This window comes from Homo sapiens, chromosome 4 (genome assembly GCF_000001405.40).
Source record: "Homo sapiens chromosome 4, GRCh38.p14 Primary Assembly".
NCBI classification, from domain to species: domain Eukaryota; kingdom Metazoa; phylum Chordata; class Mammalia; order Primates; family Hominidae; genus Homo; species Homo sapiens.
In genome coordinates this window covers 86,018,276-86,039,374 of record NC_000004.12, presented here as the reverse complement: position 1 = coordinate 86,039,374, position 21,099 = coordinate 86,018,276, and the positions used below count along the sequence as shown (strand labels likewise).

Genomic DNA, 21,099 nt, shown 5'->3' with positions numbered 1-21,099 from the left:
TCCTACCATCATGTGGAGGGTATCTGTCTCCATGCTGTGCTGTCTGGTAATTGGGGGAAAAGTGAAGCAGGTAATGTGAAACTGTCCTTCCTCTCTCTCCAGTGCATCTTTTCTTGTTTCCGTGCTATACCCAGGTGCTGAAATCTCTCACCTGGTTTCCTTCACTTTTGTGAAGGTATTTTTGTGTGCGGATAGTTGTTCAAATTGATGTTTCTGTGAGAGAGGGAGCACTGGAGAGCCTTATTTTATCATCTTGCTGACATCTCCTCAAATCATACTTTTAAAAGGCATTTATTTAATCTGTAGTAGTATATTATTTAATTTCTGTTTGAGAACACAGACATAGTTCCTGAAACTTGCTGAAGCAATTTTTAATAATCAACGGATAGTACATCACAAAATGCCATATATCTACATTCAGAAGGCAATGAAGTTTTTGGTAATTGGAAACCAGGTCATTGCTTAATGCATAGTAAGGTCACATTACTGAGAAATCATAGGAATTAATTATATCTAATCAATTCTTTTGATAATTGTGCATATTGCAATAATATTTTCATTATTTTGGCGATTGTTGGTAAGACTATTTGTGAAACAAATACTGAGCTCCATTTTGGGGTAATGAACTGCTGTTGGTGCCACAGAGAATATAAGGCTTTAGAGAAAAATTGGACATGCTAAACTGTGCCATTAGCCAAATAAAACAATAAAAGTGCATATCATTTTGTGCTTCATCAGAGTCATTTTACCAAAATTTTTATTTTCTAATTAATTGGTGAAAATTTAACAAGTCCTAGTCATCAAATTAAGAAAAAAAAAATTAGAAAACTCTATGTGTAGAGATTCAAGGAAATATAAAATCAAAATGTTGTATATTTCCTTAATGGATTTCCTGTTCTATCTAATTTTGTACTAAGATATACCCTTCTTGCTTAAAGCGTTTTAATAAAGCATGCATCTTTTGACAATCATCTAACTGCCAAGCTTAATAAGAAAAAACAAAGCATATTTCAGTAAGATATAATATCATTTACTTTGATCCAGATGTTGAATTAATAATGAGTGCACACACTGAGATACAGTGCTATTTAAAGCTTTTGTTGACATTTTAAACAAGGCAGCAGAACACAGGGAGATCCTTAATTAGGACAAAGCAGACAAACACCAACAACTTGATGGACTGTCATATGGTTCAGAGCATAAGTGTTAGGGAAAAATGTCAGTTCAGGGCTCAAAGAAGAATCAAAGGAACAACTTTGTACAACTTAGATTTCTCATATCTGGTTTTTATCTCTTTAGAGATTCATGTGTTTAGAGGTCTTTGATGTCCATGATACTTTGACAAAAAAGTGTTTAAGAATGTAAGTGTTGACTGCTTGTATGATAGTTGCCAGCTCTAGCTGTAAGTGTAGACTGACAGAAAATTGGAACAGAAATCAGTGTGTGGCAGGCACAAATTTGTCTTTAATGAATATCTTTTACAGGTGTCAAATTATCCAGTTTAATGTTTCTTCAACCATAAGAATTCCATTATTCTGTCTTTTCCCATAAGAGACCATAAATGTATTCATCTGTCACTAATTAACTCTGTGATTGTGGGCAAATCACTTATGCTTTCTCAGTTTCTATATTCTCATTTGAAAATTGAATAAGGGTGGCATTAGATAATCTCTGAACTTTCTTTTACCACTAATATCCTATAATGCTGTTGAAAAAGATACTTCCCATGTATCTTTGAAAATTATCTCAAAGATTCAGTAAAAAATAAATTCACACATTTTACTCAATGAATATTACTTATATATATGGGATAAAATGAATGAAGTCACAAGAAAGGGCAACTTTTTTTTTTTTTTAGACGGAGTCTCGCTCAGTCACCCAGGCTGGAATGCAGTGGTGTGATCTTGGCTCACTGCAAGCTCCACCTCCCAAGTTTATGCCATTCTCCTGCCTCAGCCTCCCGAGTAGCTGGGAACACAGGCACCTGCCACAATGCCCGGCTAATTTTTTATACTTTTAGTAGAGATGGGGTTTCACTGTGTTAGCCAGGATGGTCTCGATCTCCTGACCTCGTGATCTGCCCACCTCGGCCTCCCAAAGGCCTGGGATTACAGGCAGAAAGAGCAACTTTTACCTTCGAAAGCTCAATTAGGAATTGAACAGGTACTTGTTAAAGAGATCGCTTTAGTAGAAAGTCATGGCCAACAGCAAGAACTCCATAGAATGCCCACAGAATCCATATTTTTCAACTATAGATTTATTATGCAGAATTCTACTCTTGTCTGTACTGTCTGCCAACAGCCATATTTTATAGCTGAATTTTACGTTTCTAAAAATAGAGAAAATGGAAGGAAATGCTGACGTGCTGTCTCAGAGAAGGAAAAGGTACAGCTGCAATTGTTGAAACCTCAGTGGTAGAAAAACATTGCAATTCAGTTGTTTTCTTTGTCCTCAAATTACTGTATACCTTAGATCTCTAACATGCCATGTCACAACATTGCTATGTAGAGTGTCCACATATTTATTCTCCAAACCACAACACTTAAAGGAGCGAAGGGCGTAAGTGCTACTAATAATTACAAGGACAATAAGCATAAAATGGAACTATTTTGTACAAACTGGGAAATATGGTCACCCTATTGGCTTATGTTTCTATTTCTTGTTTTACAAAGATGTTCACTTTAAATATTGTTTTATTAGTCTTTATTTTAGATTCAACAGTATTGACACTTGCTCTGGATTACTCTTTAAATTGGGTTTTAATAAAAGTTTCATCATTAATTAGCTATATGACTTCATGATATATTTTTTAAAATTTCCTTGAATCTTAGTTTCCTGACTGTGAGGATTATTAAGGTCTATATAAAGACAGCTTAACATATGGTGGTTTCTCAGAAAAAAAGTGACTTCCTTTAACTAGATAGAGAACAGTGTTTTTTTTTTTATCAAGTTCTCAGAGACTTGAGAGAGTAGATCTGAGATCATTATAGTTTTTCTAGTGTCACAATTGTTCTATGGTTTCTTTCCTTTTAATTATATTGGTGTTGAGGATCTTTTTCTACATTTTATTCAATTGTTTAGGTGATGTCTCATATTAACGTCCTCCACCGAAGATCTATCTGGATCTTTCTGGGGGTGATAGCAATTTAAAGTTTGGAAAGCTTTCAAAGGGTTCAGAGGCATGCTTTCTATCATGCCTTTCTGGTGCCCTGCGAGTCAAAATCCTCATGTGCTTCATTTGCAAGAAATGGCCAATTACTAGCTTTTTGTGAAATTCTACTTGCTTGACTTCTATAACATTGCAATATTCTCATTTTTCATGTATTTCTTTAGCTATTCTCTTTTGCCTTAGTGAACTTACCTTCCTCTGTCCAATCTTTAAATTTTAATTTGGCCATTTACTCTCTATACCCACATATCTTCCCTGGGTGACCTCATCCACTGTCATAGTTTCAACAAACATCACTTGCTGTTAGTCTCAAATCTATACACATCTCTAGCCAACAGCATTCCTCTGAACTTCAGATTATATACTTAACTTTCAAATCATCATCTCTTCTCACATAACACTTAGGCTCACCTCTACCAATCTCATTTCCCCTTTTCCATTCTCTATTTCTTTAGATGGCTTCACCAACACGATCATCTTCCCAGGTACTCAGCTTAGAAATTGGGGACTCATATTCTTCTCTCCCATCACATATGTTCAATCAAAAACCAACTTCTACCAAGTTTATTTATTAACATTTATTAATTATTCCTGAATCTGTGTCTTTCGTTCACCCTCATCTTTTTTTTTTTTTAACCGCAGTCAGAACTTTCAATATTTTTTTATAGATCGTGCAATGGCTCCCTACCTCTTCTCTCTGCTTACAGTTACATCTTTCTTCAATCCAGCTGTAAATTTCACTGTTCCGTTCTCTTACATTCCTCAGTGGTTTCTCTTCTTCTTTCTTCCGTATCATGATACCCTGGATCATTTTTTTTTTTTTTTTTTTTTTTTTGAGACAGAGTCTCACTCTATCACCCAGGCTGGAGTGCAGTGGCACAATCTGGGCTCACTGCAACCTCCACCTCCCGGGTTCAAGCGATTCTCCTGCCTCAGCCTCCCGAGTAGCTGGGATTACAGGTGCCTGCCACCATGCCCGGCTAATTTTTGTATTTTTAGTAGAGGTGGGGTTTCACCATGTTGGCCAGGCTGGTCTTGAACTCCTGACTTCAAATAATCCACCCACCTCGGCCTCCCAGAGTTCTGGGATTACAGGCATGAGCCACAGCGCCTGGCCCCCTGGATCATCCTTGATCCACCCTTTGTCTGACCCTTCTGCTTCTCTAAGTACAGCTCTTATATCTTGTCACTTCTGACGACATGTTTTATTTTACTGTGACAAAATTCCTTCTTGTTTTCTTGGCATGCATGTACACACAGAGAAACACATGCACCACCACTACCACTACCACCACCACCACCACCACCCCTATTCTGTTTTCTACATACTGTAACTTGGCTTATAATGTGCTCTTGGCATGGAGTCACTTTTTTCCTCCTTCTTTTATCTTGACAACCTCCCACACATCTTTCGCTCACTGAATAAGCATCACTTTACTCCAGGAAATCAAATCTAGGCTTTGTTAGGACTTCTCCACCCTGTTCCCTTAGACCATATACAGGTTTCTATCATTTATCATGTTGTATACTAATGATCTGTTTTGCATCAGTCTTACCCCAGTAAATTGTGAACTCCTTGTGGTCAGCAGTCACCTTATTCAATTTTGAAATCTCAGTTTTTTATATAGTCTGCCATGTGTTAGGTGCCCAAGACCTTTACTGAATGAATACATTTAATAAAGAAATAAATAAATTCTAGTATTTATTAATTCACAGTGACCATGTACTTGTTTGTGTTTTTTTCCTCATTTAATTGAAACAATTTGGACATGTTTCATCAGTATAAAATTCATATAATTGACCACCAATATAAATTCATATGAAATTAACCATCAATAAAAATGTGTCTAATCCATTTTAAGTTATTGTTTATGCAATCCATATAAATTTGTGTTTGAATTTCTGCAATAATTTCAACCAAGGAAGTTCAAATCTTCCAAAATAATATGAAAGAAGTTTACAGTCTTTTGAAAAAATATTCAAAGGGTGAAAGTCACAGGCCCTGATAACTGTTCATATACTATCTTTAATGTCCTCTTATCCTTCATTTCTCACATCTCAATTACTCTTATCTGCTAAACTCTCCTAAAATACTCTCTCAACAGACACCTCTGGGGCATTTTTCTTTATCCCCACTCCTCATTTATTTTTTATTTAGATTGTCACTTAGCAAAAGAATAATTCCTATTAAATAAGATAGGGAAAGAGCACAAGCGAGTGCTCAAATACCAACTTCTCCTTAGCGGAAGGAGGCAGGGAATGTTTTGAACTATCTCATCCTGATGATTGCTGCCCAGCACTTATACGTGTGTGTTGTAACATTGCTCTCTCTGGATTATTGGTCAATTATTCTTTTATATTGTCACATAGAAGACATCTGTATGTGAATGTGCCCTTTCACTGGAGGTGACATTCGCATTTCCTCTTCAAAAAACAAACAATCAAAAATCTGAATATGTAGTAAATTTGCAGAGGCCGTCGAACAAATACTATAAATCAAGTGGTTTAAAGCAGCCCTCTTGGTTTGTTGAAAGGAAAAATCTTGAACTCAGCACTTTGCATTCTCTCTTGTAGTTTGTTTGTGATTAGTGTCTATGTACTTTGTGCTTTATATATCAGCAACAGCTGTACACTGAGGCTCCTAGGGAAACCTCCTGAAAATAGCTTTGTTGCAAAAAGAAAATGGCATTTATGAACTTTGGCAGGAACTGTACTCTTGAGCCATGTTCAATTTTAAAACTTGAATGGAAAAATCCACTGCATGGAGAAGCCAGCCAGGCAGGATCATGAGCTGGATCTATTGTTAGAAGAAGAAGGAGGTGCCAACAGCTCAGAGGGCTCTGGGGGCTCTGAGAGCTTATGTACACTGTGTCCTGCAGGGGTCCTGGACAAGGTCGCTTGGATAGCGGCCTAACCACAGCATTATACATGCTCAGGAAGAGGCAAAGCCGGAAATTTACCACTTGGCAAAGCGTCTTTACAAAACCAGAGTTTGGCTTTGTGGTAGCTTCCTTAGGTAATGGTTTCACAATTTTTCAAAAATAACTTCATTTTACTCATTCACTCACTAAGTCAGAATGTTTCTATTATTTGAGAGTCCTTTATAGAGGTGGAAGGTTCTACCTCAGTCAGGTCCTGAGAGCAGTGCCTGACTATCCCAGTCCTGTCACCTTATATACGTTCAATGTGTTGTGTTCTTACTATTGTCTGGGGTGGTGTGAGAGTCTCATTTTGCTTAGTTGTCAGTGCTGACGGCTGCTGAGAGCTGCTCAGCCAGCCACATCTGAATTGCAGTAGGTGAGGTTTACAGCCTTCTGCCCCAGTATCAGTCAAACGTGCTAAAAGAATGTCTGGCTCCGTGAGTAGTTATTTCTCAATACTTCAGTATTATGCTAAGTTACTTCACCACAGCCAGGCAAAGTCTTCTATTTTCATAGCCAGATACTTTGCAGGATGTGAGGCCCCAGCATGCCAGGGCTAGGATGAATATTTGTGTCTGTCATGATTCAAGCTACCACAGATTCTGCATGAATTAGAGAAGGGTCACTTTAGCCCGAGGGTGCTGTTCATGAGCCAAAAAGCTCTCACAGAAGCCAGAAGCTGTCTCTGAAAATCTTGTCCAGAGCTTTCCTTACTATAATAGCCATTTTTGAAAGGTCTGTGTCCTAAAGGGGTTGCATCACTCTTATTGAGTGACTCTTTTAGTTTTTCACAAAAACTATTGCTTTTGGAGTATTGGACGGGGTAGCAAAAACTTGATAGCTCTTCTTTGCGCTTAAACCGGTGCCAGCCAGTGTAGCCCCTCAGCCTCCTCTTTCTCTACCTCATGGTGATTTATTTTTCCAAGAGCCTTTTTTTTTTCTTTCCATATCACTTGGCCTGAATTGGAGCTACCCTAGCCGCCATGGTAGATCTCCCAAAGCCTAAATATCAGGAAGAAGAGGTCAGAGAATTTATTTGAGATTCCACTTTCCAGTAGGCACGCAGGTTTGTGAAAATCCCTCCTTTTCCACATTTGAACTCCACATGGGAAGAGAAATGCTGGCTCTATAAGTCAGACTGAAGGCCCTATTGCATCATTTCTGCTAGAGAGGACTAACCAAGGGCCATTCAGGGATTCAAGGTGACCTACCTCTACAGTCATGGCAGCTTCTGCAGGTTAAAACAAATAAACAAACAAACCAAAAAGCTTAAAATCGTTTAAGTATAGGGCACACAGCAATATATAAAGACATTCTATGGTATTTCATGAAAAATAAAAAGGTTGATTTGATCTCAATTTTTTTTATATTGAGGACTAGTACTATGGTCTGTTGAGAAATATAAACTTTTCTTTAGGGAAGGTCTAAAAATAGAACAAAATCTTATTAGCCTAGAAGAATTTTAGCATGGTTCTGTTATAAGGCAAGTGAATGAAGGAAAAGTAGCTTCTGGGCCATTGTAATCAAGTGTTTTGTCTGTTTTTTAAAAGACCAGTCATTAATTGCTTAGGCGTGGGTTCTAAATCAGAAGATGTCGGAAAGTGAGCTCTCGGGATTTGCGTTCTGCTGCAAATATTGCAGCAATATTGGGTCAGCAGCAAATATTGCAATATGAATGAATCCTCCATAAGTTTACAGGAAAATTTTAACTTCTGAACTACTGTAATTTCCTCATAACTTATATACGGTTGAAATCACCGAAATAAATGAGGGCAAGGTATTCTCGTGCATTGTAAGAGTTTAGTTATGTTTACATTATCACACAAAGATTATTTTTTGTTTTTATTCGGCAGCCTCCACCTCAGATATATGACAAGCAGTTGGATGAAAGAGAACACACAATTGAAGAATGGAAAGGTAAGTCTACTACTTAAAAAAGTATACTTTTTATTTTATTGAACTCAGAAAGTATCAACAAGGCTTTTCCTTGTAAAACAATTTACTAAAAAATGATTTGCTGACTGCTATTCTCTTAGACCATTTTTAAAGCTCCTAAAACTTCATCTGTCTTTTCATGCCGAAAGCAATGTCACATTTGCTCAAGAATGAAAGGCATTTACCATTGATACCTTTTAAAATGGTACTGATTGTCAGTGTTTGTCGATACCTTTTAAAATGGTACTGATTGTCAGTGTTTGTCATGGTGGGGGGCAAGCTTTAGTTCAGAATTCCAGAATACAACTTTCTATGTTTGTACATAAAATCATCATATGAAGCATGAAATTAAAATTAATTCTGAGATGGTTTTAGACTTTAGAAAATAAAAGATAGTCAATATATGAGTTTACTCATTGGATTGATAAGACTTGAGAATTTACATAGAAAATATGTGTATCTGAGTAGCCTATTAATCTAATCTACTAATCTAAATCACTACAGAATAGAATAAATATGAGAAAGTCAAATGCAGATTGTAGCAAATGATCAGATCAAAATGGGAAGAGCTGAAGGGAAGGAACATTTGAGCTACCTTGCAGGAATTAATAAGTGTAAATTAGGAAAAGAAAAAATATTAAGAAAATATCAGATAAAGGACTAAGAGGAAAACAAAGGACAGGAATAAGCAGAAAATGTTATAAAGATACTAAACAGGGCCAGGAGCGATGACTCACACCTGTAATCCCAGCAGTTTGGGAGGCTGAGGCTGGGGGATCACTTGAGCCCGGGAGTTCAGAACCAACCTGGGCAACATAGGGAGACCCTGTCTCTGCTAGAAACATACAAAAATTAGCCGGGCATAGTGGTACACACCTGTAGTCCCAGCTACTTGGGAGGCTGAGGTGGGAGGATCACTTGAGTCCAGGAAGTTGAGGCTGCGGTGAGCCATGATTGTGCCATTGTACTCAAGCCTGGGTGACAGAGAAAGTCTCTGCCTCTCTCTATATATATATGTAAAATAAAAAATAAAATAAAAAAATTTTAAAAGATACTAAAGAGATTCCACTGGTCCAGAGATTCCAGGGTCATGTTGGTGAATATGGAAAAATGAACATATACAAAAAGTGGATCAAGTGAAAAAAGATGCTTGATATAGATGAAAAAGAGTTGCTTTGATCCAAGTAAGGACAGGAAGGCACTCCTTAGGGGCTCATGAATAGGTGGGTGATAGGATATAACCATCATTTGAGGAGGACATGGACTAAATTGTGAGAAATTGGAGAAAGAAGTACATGTAAAGGATGATGATTATACAGATTATAAGCCATTGCAAAGCAAGAATGAGTAGGGCGGAATGATTTTTAGCTAAAGGGACAGAGTAAACAGAACTGAAACTATCCAATTTAACTCTAGCATTCAGAAAGCCAAAAATGGATGCCAGTCTGAGAGTAAATGAACTAAATTTTTTAATGTGTTTGGTTTTTGGCAAGTTTAGATTTACAAGTCCAAGATATGAGTCTGGAAAAAAAAAAAGATGCAGTAAGAGATGGAAGTTGTAAGGATTGGTAATAATTTAAAGTCATGAGAATGTGTGCATTTCATAGGAAATAAGTATAAAGAAAAATGGATGTTCAAAGCCATAAAAATTGTTGCTAGATTGAGCTAGAATGTATTAGTACTTCCCCCAAAGAATTCAGAAAACAAGTAAAACATGTATTACTTGTTTCATTTATGTAGAAATATTTCATGCATGTAGAAATAAATGTTATTTATGTAGAAATGTATGTAGAAATAAATACTATGTATATGGAAATAAATAGTATGTTTCATGTACGTAGAAATAAATTTTCATGCATTGATTTCTTCAACTGCTTTACTAGATACCTATTTGTGCCAGGCTCTCTGCTAATTACAAGGCAATATAGAAATAGAAATAGAGCAGTAAAGGAATCTCAATTGATTTTTAATTTACTCAACCCCATCAAAACGTAATTATTTGGCATTAAGTAATGAATTTCCCTGTGGATGAAGGATAAATTTGTTTTCTATAATAACACAGCTGTTTCTTACAGAACTTATCTACAAGGAAGTAATGAATTCAGAAGAAAAGACTAAAAATGGTGTAGTAAAAGGACAGCCTTCTCCTTCAGGTACTCACTCTCCGTGAATAACCAATAAACTAGTACTTGTGTAATTTCTTGGCCTTTGTGTAGGGGTTGCAAGAAATAACATAACATTGCTTAAAGAGCAGATGGACAAATATCACATGGTTGTGTCCTTATAATGATTTTAGTTTTATTTCTTTTGATATTCAGTGTGGCATTCATTCTGATTATTCTGATGGTAATGATCCAGTACAAAAACTTTTTCATAAATAATTTTAATAGTAATGAATCCTGAAGAAAATGTTAACATGGGCTAAAGGGTAAATGTGCCTCATCAAAATTCAGAGCCATAATGCCCTTTTGACCATCAAGTCAATGTGGAGCTCAGTAATCCTTTCAGCCGCTACCTCTTCCCTCATTCATTCTTAGTGTTTGAACTCTTCTCAAGGTTGATGTGACAATAGTTGAAACATCTACCAAGATGGGCTCCGGTTAAGGTCAGCTTGGAAAATTTTTCGTTTGCTAGCCACAGAATCTAATACACAATTGTGCATATATATTTTTTACTGATCCTAGTAATGTGCTTTAGTATGACTTGAGACAATTTACTTATTAATGCTAATATATTTTTTCCTAAGACCTATGCTCTCACTATAAAGAGTTTTAGAAAATGTGATGGTTTATTTTCAGCTTTAAAAACTACATTCAACTCCTGCTAGCAAAAATGGGGGCTACAAATGCCTAGTTTTGAGAAAAACTGATTAGGGTGTTGTTTTCCTAAATTATTTTAGGAAAAAAGATGTAGAATGAAATAATTAATCAATTATTCATATCGATACTACTCTTCGAATAACTAATTTACACCCCAAACCACTATGATACCCAAACAGATGCAATTCGGTTATGACATGCTTTTCTCACCAGTAGACTTGAAAAAATACTCAGTTTTATCCCAAGTTTTTCCCTTCCTCAAAGAAGGTTAAGGGAATCACAGGAGTTGTTTTCCATACCACCCTCTCTACTCATTCACCCTCGCATACAGATTGACACAGTCCACAGAAGCTGCTTCAAACTAATCCACGTTTGGCCTGTTGCTCATTAAAAAACTTGAAGACAGAATCCAAAAGCCTCAAGATGCCACCTGCTAAGGCAGAATGACTCCTTGTTTTAAGAATTCCTATAATGACCAGAACATATTGTCATGTACTCATTAAGCAGCAGAAATAACAGAATGTAGCCACGGGTAACCTAGCATGTTAGGCTGGGCCTGGACAAATTTTAGTAGAACCTATTCTATTCATCTTCAGTTCAAGTTATCATTACTTCATTTCCTTTTCATACCACCTTATCCCAAAAGACTTTTTATATCTTCCCAAATAATAGGATCTTTCCTTTCTATAGGTCCTACTAGTCCCTGTATGTTAAATATTTGACCTCTTGTCTTATTATCCCGTATTGATTGTAATTTCATTGAGAAGACTGTATGCATTTATCTTTGTGTCCCATGTAGTGCCTGGGTGCTGTGCCTTGCACATAGTAGTAGCTCAGTAAATATATATTAATTTGAAAATTGCCACTCAATTTCTCCCTCAGCATATTTCTTAGTACTATTCCAAACACAAAATTCAAGACAAGATCATGTAACTTTAATACAGTATACTATTCAGCATGTTCTTACACCATTATTATAAATATTTATTCACTCTATTAATCTCCATGAAGATAAACAGGCCAAGCATAAAGTATATAAATTCTTGCTATTGGCATTTTTTCATGCTTCACATAAAGGTTTGCAGCTTTCAGGTGTTTGATTTATTCATTTTGGGAAATATATATTCATGGATGTTTTGCAGGCCTGCTTAGTGTGTTAATGATTAATTCTAAAATATGCAACTTAGGCTCTACCTGAGTGAGAAGGCTAAGCCACTTTTTAACCATTCCAACTACCTTAACAATTAAAAATTATCTATGTAATACATATGCCCTAAACTATAGTTGACTGGCTTAACCAATTTATAGTTAAAATGATTGTGGATTAAATCTAGGAAAAATATTCATGACTTAGTTATAAGTCATGTAGTATGACTTTCTCTTTCGTGAGAAATCATATGTATGCTACACATTATGGGATGCATTTCTGTATGACATATTTATGTGCATGATGGAGAGGCTCTAGGGCAGCCATGTGCTGGCGCTGACTCTACCAGCTCATGACGGCCAACTCTGTACCTCTCTTCCCAACTATGCATTTATTGTTGGTGTGTTGGCAACGTGAAATCAGGCACGAAGGATTTACAACATGGAAATTGGCAGACCCTACAAATCAGGGCGTTTTTGTTGCCCCCTGCAGAGCCAATTGTTAAATTTTTATTGGCGCACCACTGTGTGTATGCGTTTTTGTGTGTATAATAAACTATGCTGGAAAGAAAAAGCAATTCTAAAAAAAAGTTTGAAAAGTCAGCTTTTTTGCATTGTTCATTATATTCAGCTTTTTTTCATTAATGTTCACGTAGCATATTTTATTTTGAAAATAGCTGTGGTATTTTTATAACACACACTCTGTTAGTATTCAGTTATGGCAATACTGGGAATTCTGCAGCAAGGGAGTAAGTTAATGCAGTATCTCAGGGGCCAAGTACTTCTAATACGAAACCCATGTTATGCGATGCTTTTAAAATGTAAATAGGAAGTTAAATGTGCATTTGCAGAATAATTTATAGGTTTGAAATTTATTGATGAAATTGTTGTATGTCAATAAGAGATAAATCTAAACTTCAGATACATTTCCAAATAAATAATTGTATTCCCTTCTGCTATCTGATTTCACTTGCATAGTAATTTATTTTCAAGGATGGCATAGCTGCTTGCTTCCTGAATTGATCTGTAACAATTGCTGAGGGACTAGCAGTCCATGAATTGAAATTAATTTTCTTCTAAAAGCATTTGTTATAGTACGTTAGAACTAGAAAAAATACAGGAGAGCATCTGATTCACCAATTCTGAGTTTGTTCACCAGCCCTCTTCCACCTGAGAAGTAAAGCTCCCAAAACTAACAGTGACTCACTAAGATAAGGATGCTGAACAACAGGATGGGCAGAGATTTTTCAAAATCTCTAAATCAAAGATAAAGCTTCTGGGTGATTTTAATATGCAACCATTCTCTCCCCAGTGAGGACCACATTCCCCACCATGGGAATATGTCTTAGGGTCACTAATATAGTCCATTAATTTTATTTACTTTTTATTAAAAAATCTCAGGCCCAGACAAATTGTGGCTCAAGATCATGTAGATAAAAAAGACACTATTTTTTCATTCTTGTGCTTTTTCTAATTCTGTGTCTACCATATTTTTTTGTTGTTGTTGGGATTGGGGGTTATCAGGAAAATCATTGCCTTTAAAAAAAGCAGAACAACATTTTCCCCCATAACAATGTTTTTTGGTTGAATAACTTGTAGCTGAGAAATTTTCTTTAGCATATGTTACTTCTTTCTATGAAATCTGATTTTTTAGGTAAAGTTGAAGGTAGCTAATATTCCTCATTTGCAACCCTATTGACATTTTCAGTTCCTTTTAATGCCATTTTTATAGACAAAAATTTGTAATGCTTTATTGATGGCAAAACATTTTTGAAAATGTGTATCTCTACTGTTTTCTCTTAAATAATATAGAAAGAAGAGATATTTCTCACATTGACTGGACAACTGAACACAATGATCATATTCAATTCAGTTCAATTCTGTTTAAGAGATTTTCGCAAACTGCTTGGCAGTAATTTAACAACTTAAAGCCAAGGCCCATGTCTTGTCCCTTACGTTTGTGTTTGGGTTTATGGTTTAGAACTCCTGTTTATTGCCTACATGAAAATAGACTTGAATGGATCATCCAGCAGAAGTGGCTGCAGGCAAGGAGGCATTTATTATAGCGCAATAGAGGGAGTCATACAGAAGCAAATAGTTTTCATCTAATAGTGGTGGACTGGTTAACATTTAACAACTATATTTAAAAAAAGAATTGACTAGTAGCACTTAACAATTCCTGTGGTATAAATATTCTCACTGTGACCAATTTTAAGCAACAATGTAACATCAATGGATGCAGAGTTGGAAAGAGATGCTAATAATTCGTTCTAAGAAGCCACTAAAAGCCAGCTCCAGGACACCATAGACAGTGCACGGTTCTCTCCCACCATCACACTGGATAGCAAGGAACCATTCCCATGAAACAAGCAGATGTCATGGGAACTTTTACAAAGGAAGCACTGAAGACTTCTCTTAATGAATTTGTGCCATATAAAATCAGAAGCAATAGTCTATGGATCCCTAGAAATACAGCTGATAAAGACTTTGATAGATTTTGAACTTTGAGTAGTTGAACACTAATTATATTTGCATTCAACATTGATAAACTAGAGGGCAGGACCATTCCAACACAGAGGATAGGAATTAGAGAGAAGCTGCTGATGAACAAAAGGAGAAGAAAGACAACTGCAACAAAGTGATTTCCTTTGGCCAAAAATAGCTTAACAGTTTCACTAGTTGGAAAGCAGGAAGGAACTTGCTTTTCCTCACAGAACCTATCTAGAAGAGTACACATAAGATACTCAATACTGTTTTGTTAACTCGAATACTTACTCTGTGCTACTACTCAGCAGTAGACATTGTGGAAGACAGGAGAAATGAAGTATAATGAAAGCAGTAAAAAGAAGCAGGGGAAATATATGCTTGAGGTAATCCATAACAAAACTACATATAATAAGGGGCTGACTGGTATGGCATAACACTCGGAATATTCCAGAAGTGTGCTGAAAATATGCTGATTTTGAAAATAAGTGCAGTAGGAGTGCTGTGTGTTTTATAAGCATAGCCTGCAGCACGATCCTGTTTATGAAGAGCTTATTAAAAGCTACTTTGGCTTTTGTTACATACATTCAATATTATTTGTAGATATAAATTTGTGTTTTGGAGAAATTTCTTCAATGCTCTTTGTTTAATTTCTCTAGCTGCCATTGTTGTGGGTTTGTGTTTATTTGTAAACATCAAATTGTTTTACTATAAGGGAGCCTTATTTCAGCTAAGACTTATCTCACCCTTATTTGAATCATTACTCAACTTTAATTGTGACAATAAGAATGTGTCTACATAATCAACTCCAGCCAGGATAGGGGAAAAAGCCTATCTCAAGAGAAGACCAAGATTATTATTAAAGACTTAAAAATACTTTTTGGTTTGTATTATGCCACAATTTTATTTTAAAACTTTTTAAAGTTTTAAAACTGGTTATTTTCTCATAAAACCAGTTATTTTTAAAACTGGTTATTTTCTCATAAATAAAGCATGCTATCATAATCGCCTGGTTCCACTGGCTTTCTAGTTAATTACAACATTCATTTTATATATATATATATATATATATATATATATATATATATTCATTTGATCTGTTTTTAACATCCAATCCACTGACACTGAAACTTCTTATTCAAATAAGTCCTCAGTATAATTGTATTTCTACACATTAGCAATGAACATAAAACAATTCCATTTAGAATAGCATCAAGAAATACATATTTAGGAATAAAGTTAGCAAAAGAAGTACAAGTTTTGTACTCTGAAAACTACGAAACATTGTTGAAAGAAATTAAAGAGGATCTAATAACTGGAAAAACATTTCATTGCTCATGGATTAGAATATTTAATATTGTCAAGAAATGACAGATACTCCCCGAATTGATGTACAGATTAAGCCAATACTTATCAAAATCATAGCTGTCTTTTTTGCAGAAATTGACAAGCCCCATCTTAAAATTTGTGTGGAAATGCAAAGGATACAGAATATCCAAAATAACCTTGAAAAACAACACAGCTGGGAAATTTACATGTTCTGATTTCAAAACTTACTACAAAGCTACAATATTCAAGACAGAGTGCTATTTGCATGAAGATACACAAATAGATCAACGGAATCAAATTGAGAGTCCAGGAATAAATACCTACATTTATGATCAATTGATTTCTGATAAGGATGTAAGACATGGACAAAGAATAGCCTTTTCAATATATGGTGCTGGGATGATTGGATATATACATGCAAAAGAATGAAGGTGGGCCCCTGCCTCATATCATATACAAAAATGAACTAAAAATGAATCATAGACTTAAGTATAAGGTCTAACATTATAAAACTCTTAGGCAAAAACATAGGAGTAAGTTTTTATAATCTTGGATTAGAAAATGGTTTATTAGATATGACACTAAAACACAAGTGATAAAAGAAACAACAGATAAATGCTATTTCATAAAAATTAAAAATATGTGTGCTTCAAAAGACACCTTCAAGAAAATGAAAAGATAAACCATAGCATAGAGGAAAAACATTTGAAAATACATATCTCATTAAGTAACTTGTACCCAGATTATATAAAGAGCTCTTACAGGCCTGTCACAGTGGCTCATGCCTGTAGACCCAGCATTTTGGGAGGCAGAAATCGGAAGATCACTTGAGGCCAGGAGTTTGAGACCAGCTTGGGCAACATGGCAAGCTCCTGTCTCTACAAAAAATCTTTTTTTTAATTAGCCAGGTGTGGTGGTATGTGCCTGTAGTCCTAGCTACTTGGGAGGCTGGGGCAGGAGAATTGCCTGAGCCCTGGAGTTAGAGGATACAGTGAAACATGACTATGCCACTGTGCTACAGGCTGGGCGACTGAGACCCTGTCCTTAAAAAAAGAAATAAAGAAGAAAGAAAGCAAGAAAGAAAGGAAGAAAGAGCTAAAGAGCTTACAACTCAATAATAAAAAGAAAATAAAGCAATTAAAAAATGGCCAAAGGAGCTGAGTAAACTTTCTCCAAAGAAGATATACTAATGGCTGACAAGCACATGAAAAAATATACTCAACATTATTAGCTATCAGGCAAATGCAAATCAAACCACAATGAGATACCATTTCATGCACACTAGGATGGCTAGATAAAAAGACAGATAATAAGTGTTGGTGAGGATGTAGAGAAATTGGAATCCTCATATACTGCTGGTAGTAATGTAAAATGGTGCACCCACTTTAGAAAACAGTTTTGAGAGGTGAGAGCGTGCTGGCAGTCCTCAGAGCCCTCGCTTGCTCTCGGCACCTCCCCTGCCTGGGCTCCTACTTTGGCGGCATTTGAGGAGCCTTTCAGCCCCCCACTGCACTGTGGGAGCCCCTTTCTGGGCTGGCCAAGGCTGGAGCCCACTCCCTCAGCTTGCAGGGAGGTGTGGAGGGAGAGGCACGAGCGGGAACCCGGGCCGCGTGCGGCGCTTGCGGGCCAGCTGGAGTTGCAGGTAGGCGTGGGCTTGGCGGGCCCCCGCACTCGGGACAGCCAGCCAGCCCTGCTGGCCCCGGGCAGTGAGGGACTTAGCACCCGGGCCAGTGGCTGCGGAAGGTGTACTGGGTCCCCCAGCAGTGCCGGCCCACCGGCGCTGTGCTCGATTTCTCGCCGGGCCTTAGCTGCCTTCCTGCGGGGCAAGGCTCAGGACCTGCAGCCCGCCATGCCTGAGCCTCCCACCCACTCCATGGGCTCCTGTGCAGCCCGAGCCTCCCCGACGAGCACCACCCCCTGCTCCATGGCGCCCAGTCCCAGCGACCACCCAAGGGCTGAGGAATGCGAGCGCACAGCGCAGGACTGGCAGGCAGCTCCACCTGCAGCCCTGGTACGGGATCCACTAGGTGAAGCCAGCTGGGCTCCTGAGTCTGGTGAGGACGTGGAGAGTCTTTATGTCTAGCTCAGGGATTGTAAATACACCAGTCAGCACCCTGTGTTTAGCTCAAGGTTTGTGAGTGCACCAATCGACACTCTGTATTTAGCTGCTCTGGTGGGGCCTTGGAGAACCTTTATGTCTAGCTCAGGGATTGTAAACATACCAATCAGCACTCTGTGTCTAGCTCAGGGTTTGTGAGTGCACCAATCGACACTCTGTATCTAGCTGCTCTGGTGGGGCCTTGGAAAACCTTTATGTCTAGCTCAGGGATTGTAAATATACCAATCGGCACTGTGTATCTAGCTCAAGGTTTGTAAACACACCAATCAGCACCCTGTGTTTAGCTCAAGGTTTGTGAGTGCACCAATCCACACTCTGTATCTAGCTGCTCTGGTGGGGCCTTGGAGAACCTTTGTGTTGATACTCTGTATCTAATCTGATGGGGACGTGGAGAACCTTTGTATCTAGCTCAGGGATTGTAAATGCACCAGTCAGCACCCTGTCAAAACAGGCCACTCGGCTCTACCAATCAGCAGGATGTGGGTGGGGCCAGATAAGAGAATAAAAGCAGGCTGCCCGAGCCAGCATTGGCAACCCACTTGGGTCCCCTTCCACAGTGTGGAAGCTTTGTTCTTTGCTCTTTGCAGTAGATGTTGCTACTGCTCACTCTGGGTCCATGCTGCTTTTATGAGCTGTAACACTCACCACGAAGGTCTGCAGCTTCACTCCTGACCCCAGTGAGACCACGAGCCCACTGGGAGGAACGAAAAGCTCCAGACTCGCTGCCTTAAGAGCTGTAACACTCACCGTGAAGGTCTGCAGCTTCACTCCTGAGCCAGCGAGACCACGAACCCACCAGAAGGAAGAAACTCCGAACACATCTGAACATCAGAAGGGACAGACTCCAGACGCGCCACCTTAAGAGCTGTAACACTCACCGCGAGGGTCCGCGGCTTCAATCTTGAAGTCAGTGAGACCAAGAACCCACCAATTCCGGACACAGTTTGTCAGTTCCTCAAGTGTTAAAGCTAGAATTACTCTATGCCCCAGCAATTCCACTTCTAGGTGTATACCCAAGAGAAATGAACACATGTCCATACAAAACTCGTGCATGAATGTTCATAACAGCATTATTTGTAATAGCCAAAAAGTTGAAACAACCTAAATATCCATCAAATGCCTATCAACTAATAAATAAACAAAATGTGATGTATCCATACAATGGAATATTATGCAGCCATACAAAGATATGAAATACAGATACATGCCACAGCATGGATAAGCCTTAAAAACATTCTGCTATATGAAAGTGGCCAGTCATAAATGATCACATATGATATGCTTCCATTTACATGAAATGTTCAGAACAGGCAATTTTATAGAGGCAAAAAGTAGATGAGTCATTGCCTAGAGCTACAGGGTAGGTGAGGAATGGAGTGCAGGGTTTTCTTTAGGGATGATGAAATGCTGCAAAATGGATTGTGGTGATGGCTGCACAATGTTGTGAATATACTAAAAAACACTGAATCATGAAAATTAAATTTCTTAATTATATATGTGGATTATATCTTAATAAAGCTGTTACAAAAAATATATGAGCATCATTCTATACCTCAAGTCAAAACTAAATTAAGCTGTAGCACCATAATTTGAAAGGCATCCATAGTCTAGGGATATGTCATCCAGCAGACAAATAGTAAGAAAAAAGCAATTTCCCTCTGCTAGGCTCACAATTGATCAGGCCTTTATAATAGAGTCCTGTGTCCAGTTTTAATCTCTGTCTTTTAATAAGAGTGTGGATAAATGGAAGAGAATTCTGAGGAGTCCATCATAGTGACACTAAATTATTAGCAACTTATGAAAGAATATGAAGGATATTGGTATAATTTAATCCAGAATCGGGGGTGAAAAACAGAGCAGGGCATTTGGGCAATGTAAAGGAACCAAGGGCTGTCTGCTAGGAGATAAAATCTTATCATGAGGGGAAATGAACCAGCTCTGTACCATAGCTATGGGGGATATAATTAAGTAAAGTTGGAATAAATTAAAGCCATTCAAAGTTGGAATATTATGGAATATTATAACTTTATACATTGTCCTGATAGAGTAATTATTTACAGAAAGACAATAACAGGAGGACTTTAAAAACCTTTTCTAGAGACATTTAAGATTAGAAAGGATGGGTATTTTTAGGAGTTTAAAGAACATGAAAAATTCATAAGCTTTTCTGTATATAAAAATATCAAGATCCCAAAAAAATACATATTAAAAGATCACGACCAGGGAAACTTCCAGGCAAAAAGAATGACCGGGAAGAAATATATGAAAAGTTTAACAGTTCTTACCGTTTATTTGAAGATCGGTGCATATCATTATCTTTATTTCCTATATTTTTTCACATTTCCCATAGAGTACGTCCATATATTTATAGTCAACAAATACAACTTAAAAATACATGGAAGATACAGGTGATCTGTCTTAGTTTAGGTGTTTGTGTCCTCTCTAGATAACTGATACATTTTCATCACACTTTTCTCACAGGCAAGAAATGTCTACTCCAGGAGCAAGGATTATGTTAACCACTCCCCTTCCTTAATTTAGTTTTATTTTGTCTTTCTGATTTATTAGGTCTATGTGATAACACTATTATAACTGACTTTGGAGTTATTATTTTTCACCAAATAGATCTTGCACACTATATTTGCTCAAATAAGATATAATTTTAGTGAGAATTCCTCATCTCTTATTTGATTAGGGGACTATACTACAGATTTTTAATAGCGAGCTATTTCACAAAGCAAGTGTGTTACCACTCAGATTGCTTAGGTATAAAGAATATACAAAGAAAAAAAGTAAATGGATTGTTTCCAGGGTGCTCTGGTTTAATTGTATCGCACAATGCCTTTGGTTCATCTTTCTTTTGTTGATCTCAAAGCTACTGGCAACTCAGCTAGCCTTTACTGAGTGATTACCATGGGCAGGTTTCTTCTCAGGGTTTCAACCTTATACTCCCGCATAACAGATAAACAATTTTTTCAAGTTAATCTAAGTTAATAATTTGGAGTTCTTATTTGGAGATCCCAGGTAAGCAAGCCTGCTGGAGAGTTAGCTCATAAGCAAAAGCTGTGCTAAGGCTTCTCCTATTTTTTTTTTTTTTGTAACTTTCATCAACAGTCCTACTTATGTCCTACTGGCTTTTCTATATGCATTTTAAGTTTGGTGTCATTAATGATGACA

General features: G+C 37.3%; 1 protein-coding gene across 10 annotated transcripts in view; it reads left to right on the top strand.

Moving 5' to 3' along the window:
- MAPK10 (mitogen-activated protein kinase 10) overlaps positions 1-21,099 on the top strand; it is a 583,670-nt gene that overhangs the window by 554,700 nt on the left and 7,871 nt on the right. For all 10 annotated transcript variants that reach the window (XM_047415964.1, NM_002753.6, NM_138982.4 and 7 more), the window contains 2 exons: positions 7,944-8,007; positions 10,101-10,178. In XM_047415964.1, the coding sequence (XP_047271920.1) occupies positions 7,944-8,007; positions 10,101-10,178 (142 nt within the window). The remainder of the gene's footprint in view (positions 1-7,943; positions 8,008-10,100; positions 10,179-21,099) is intronic.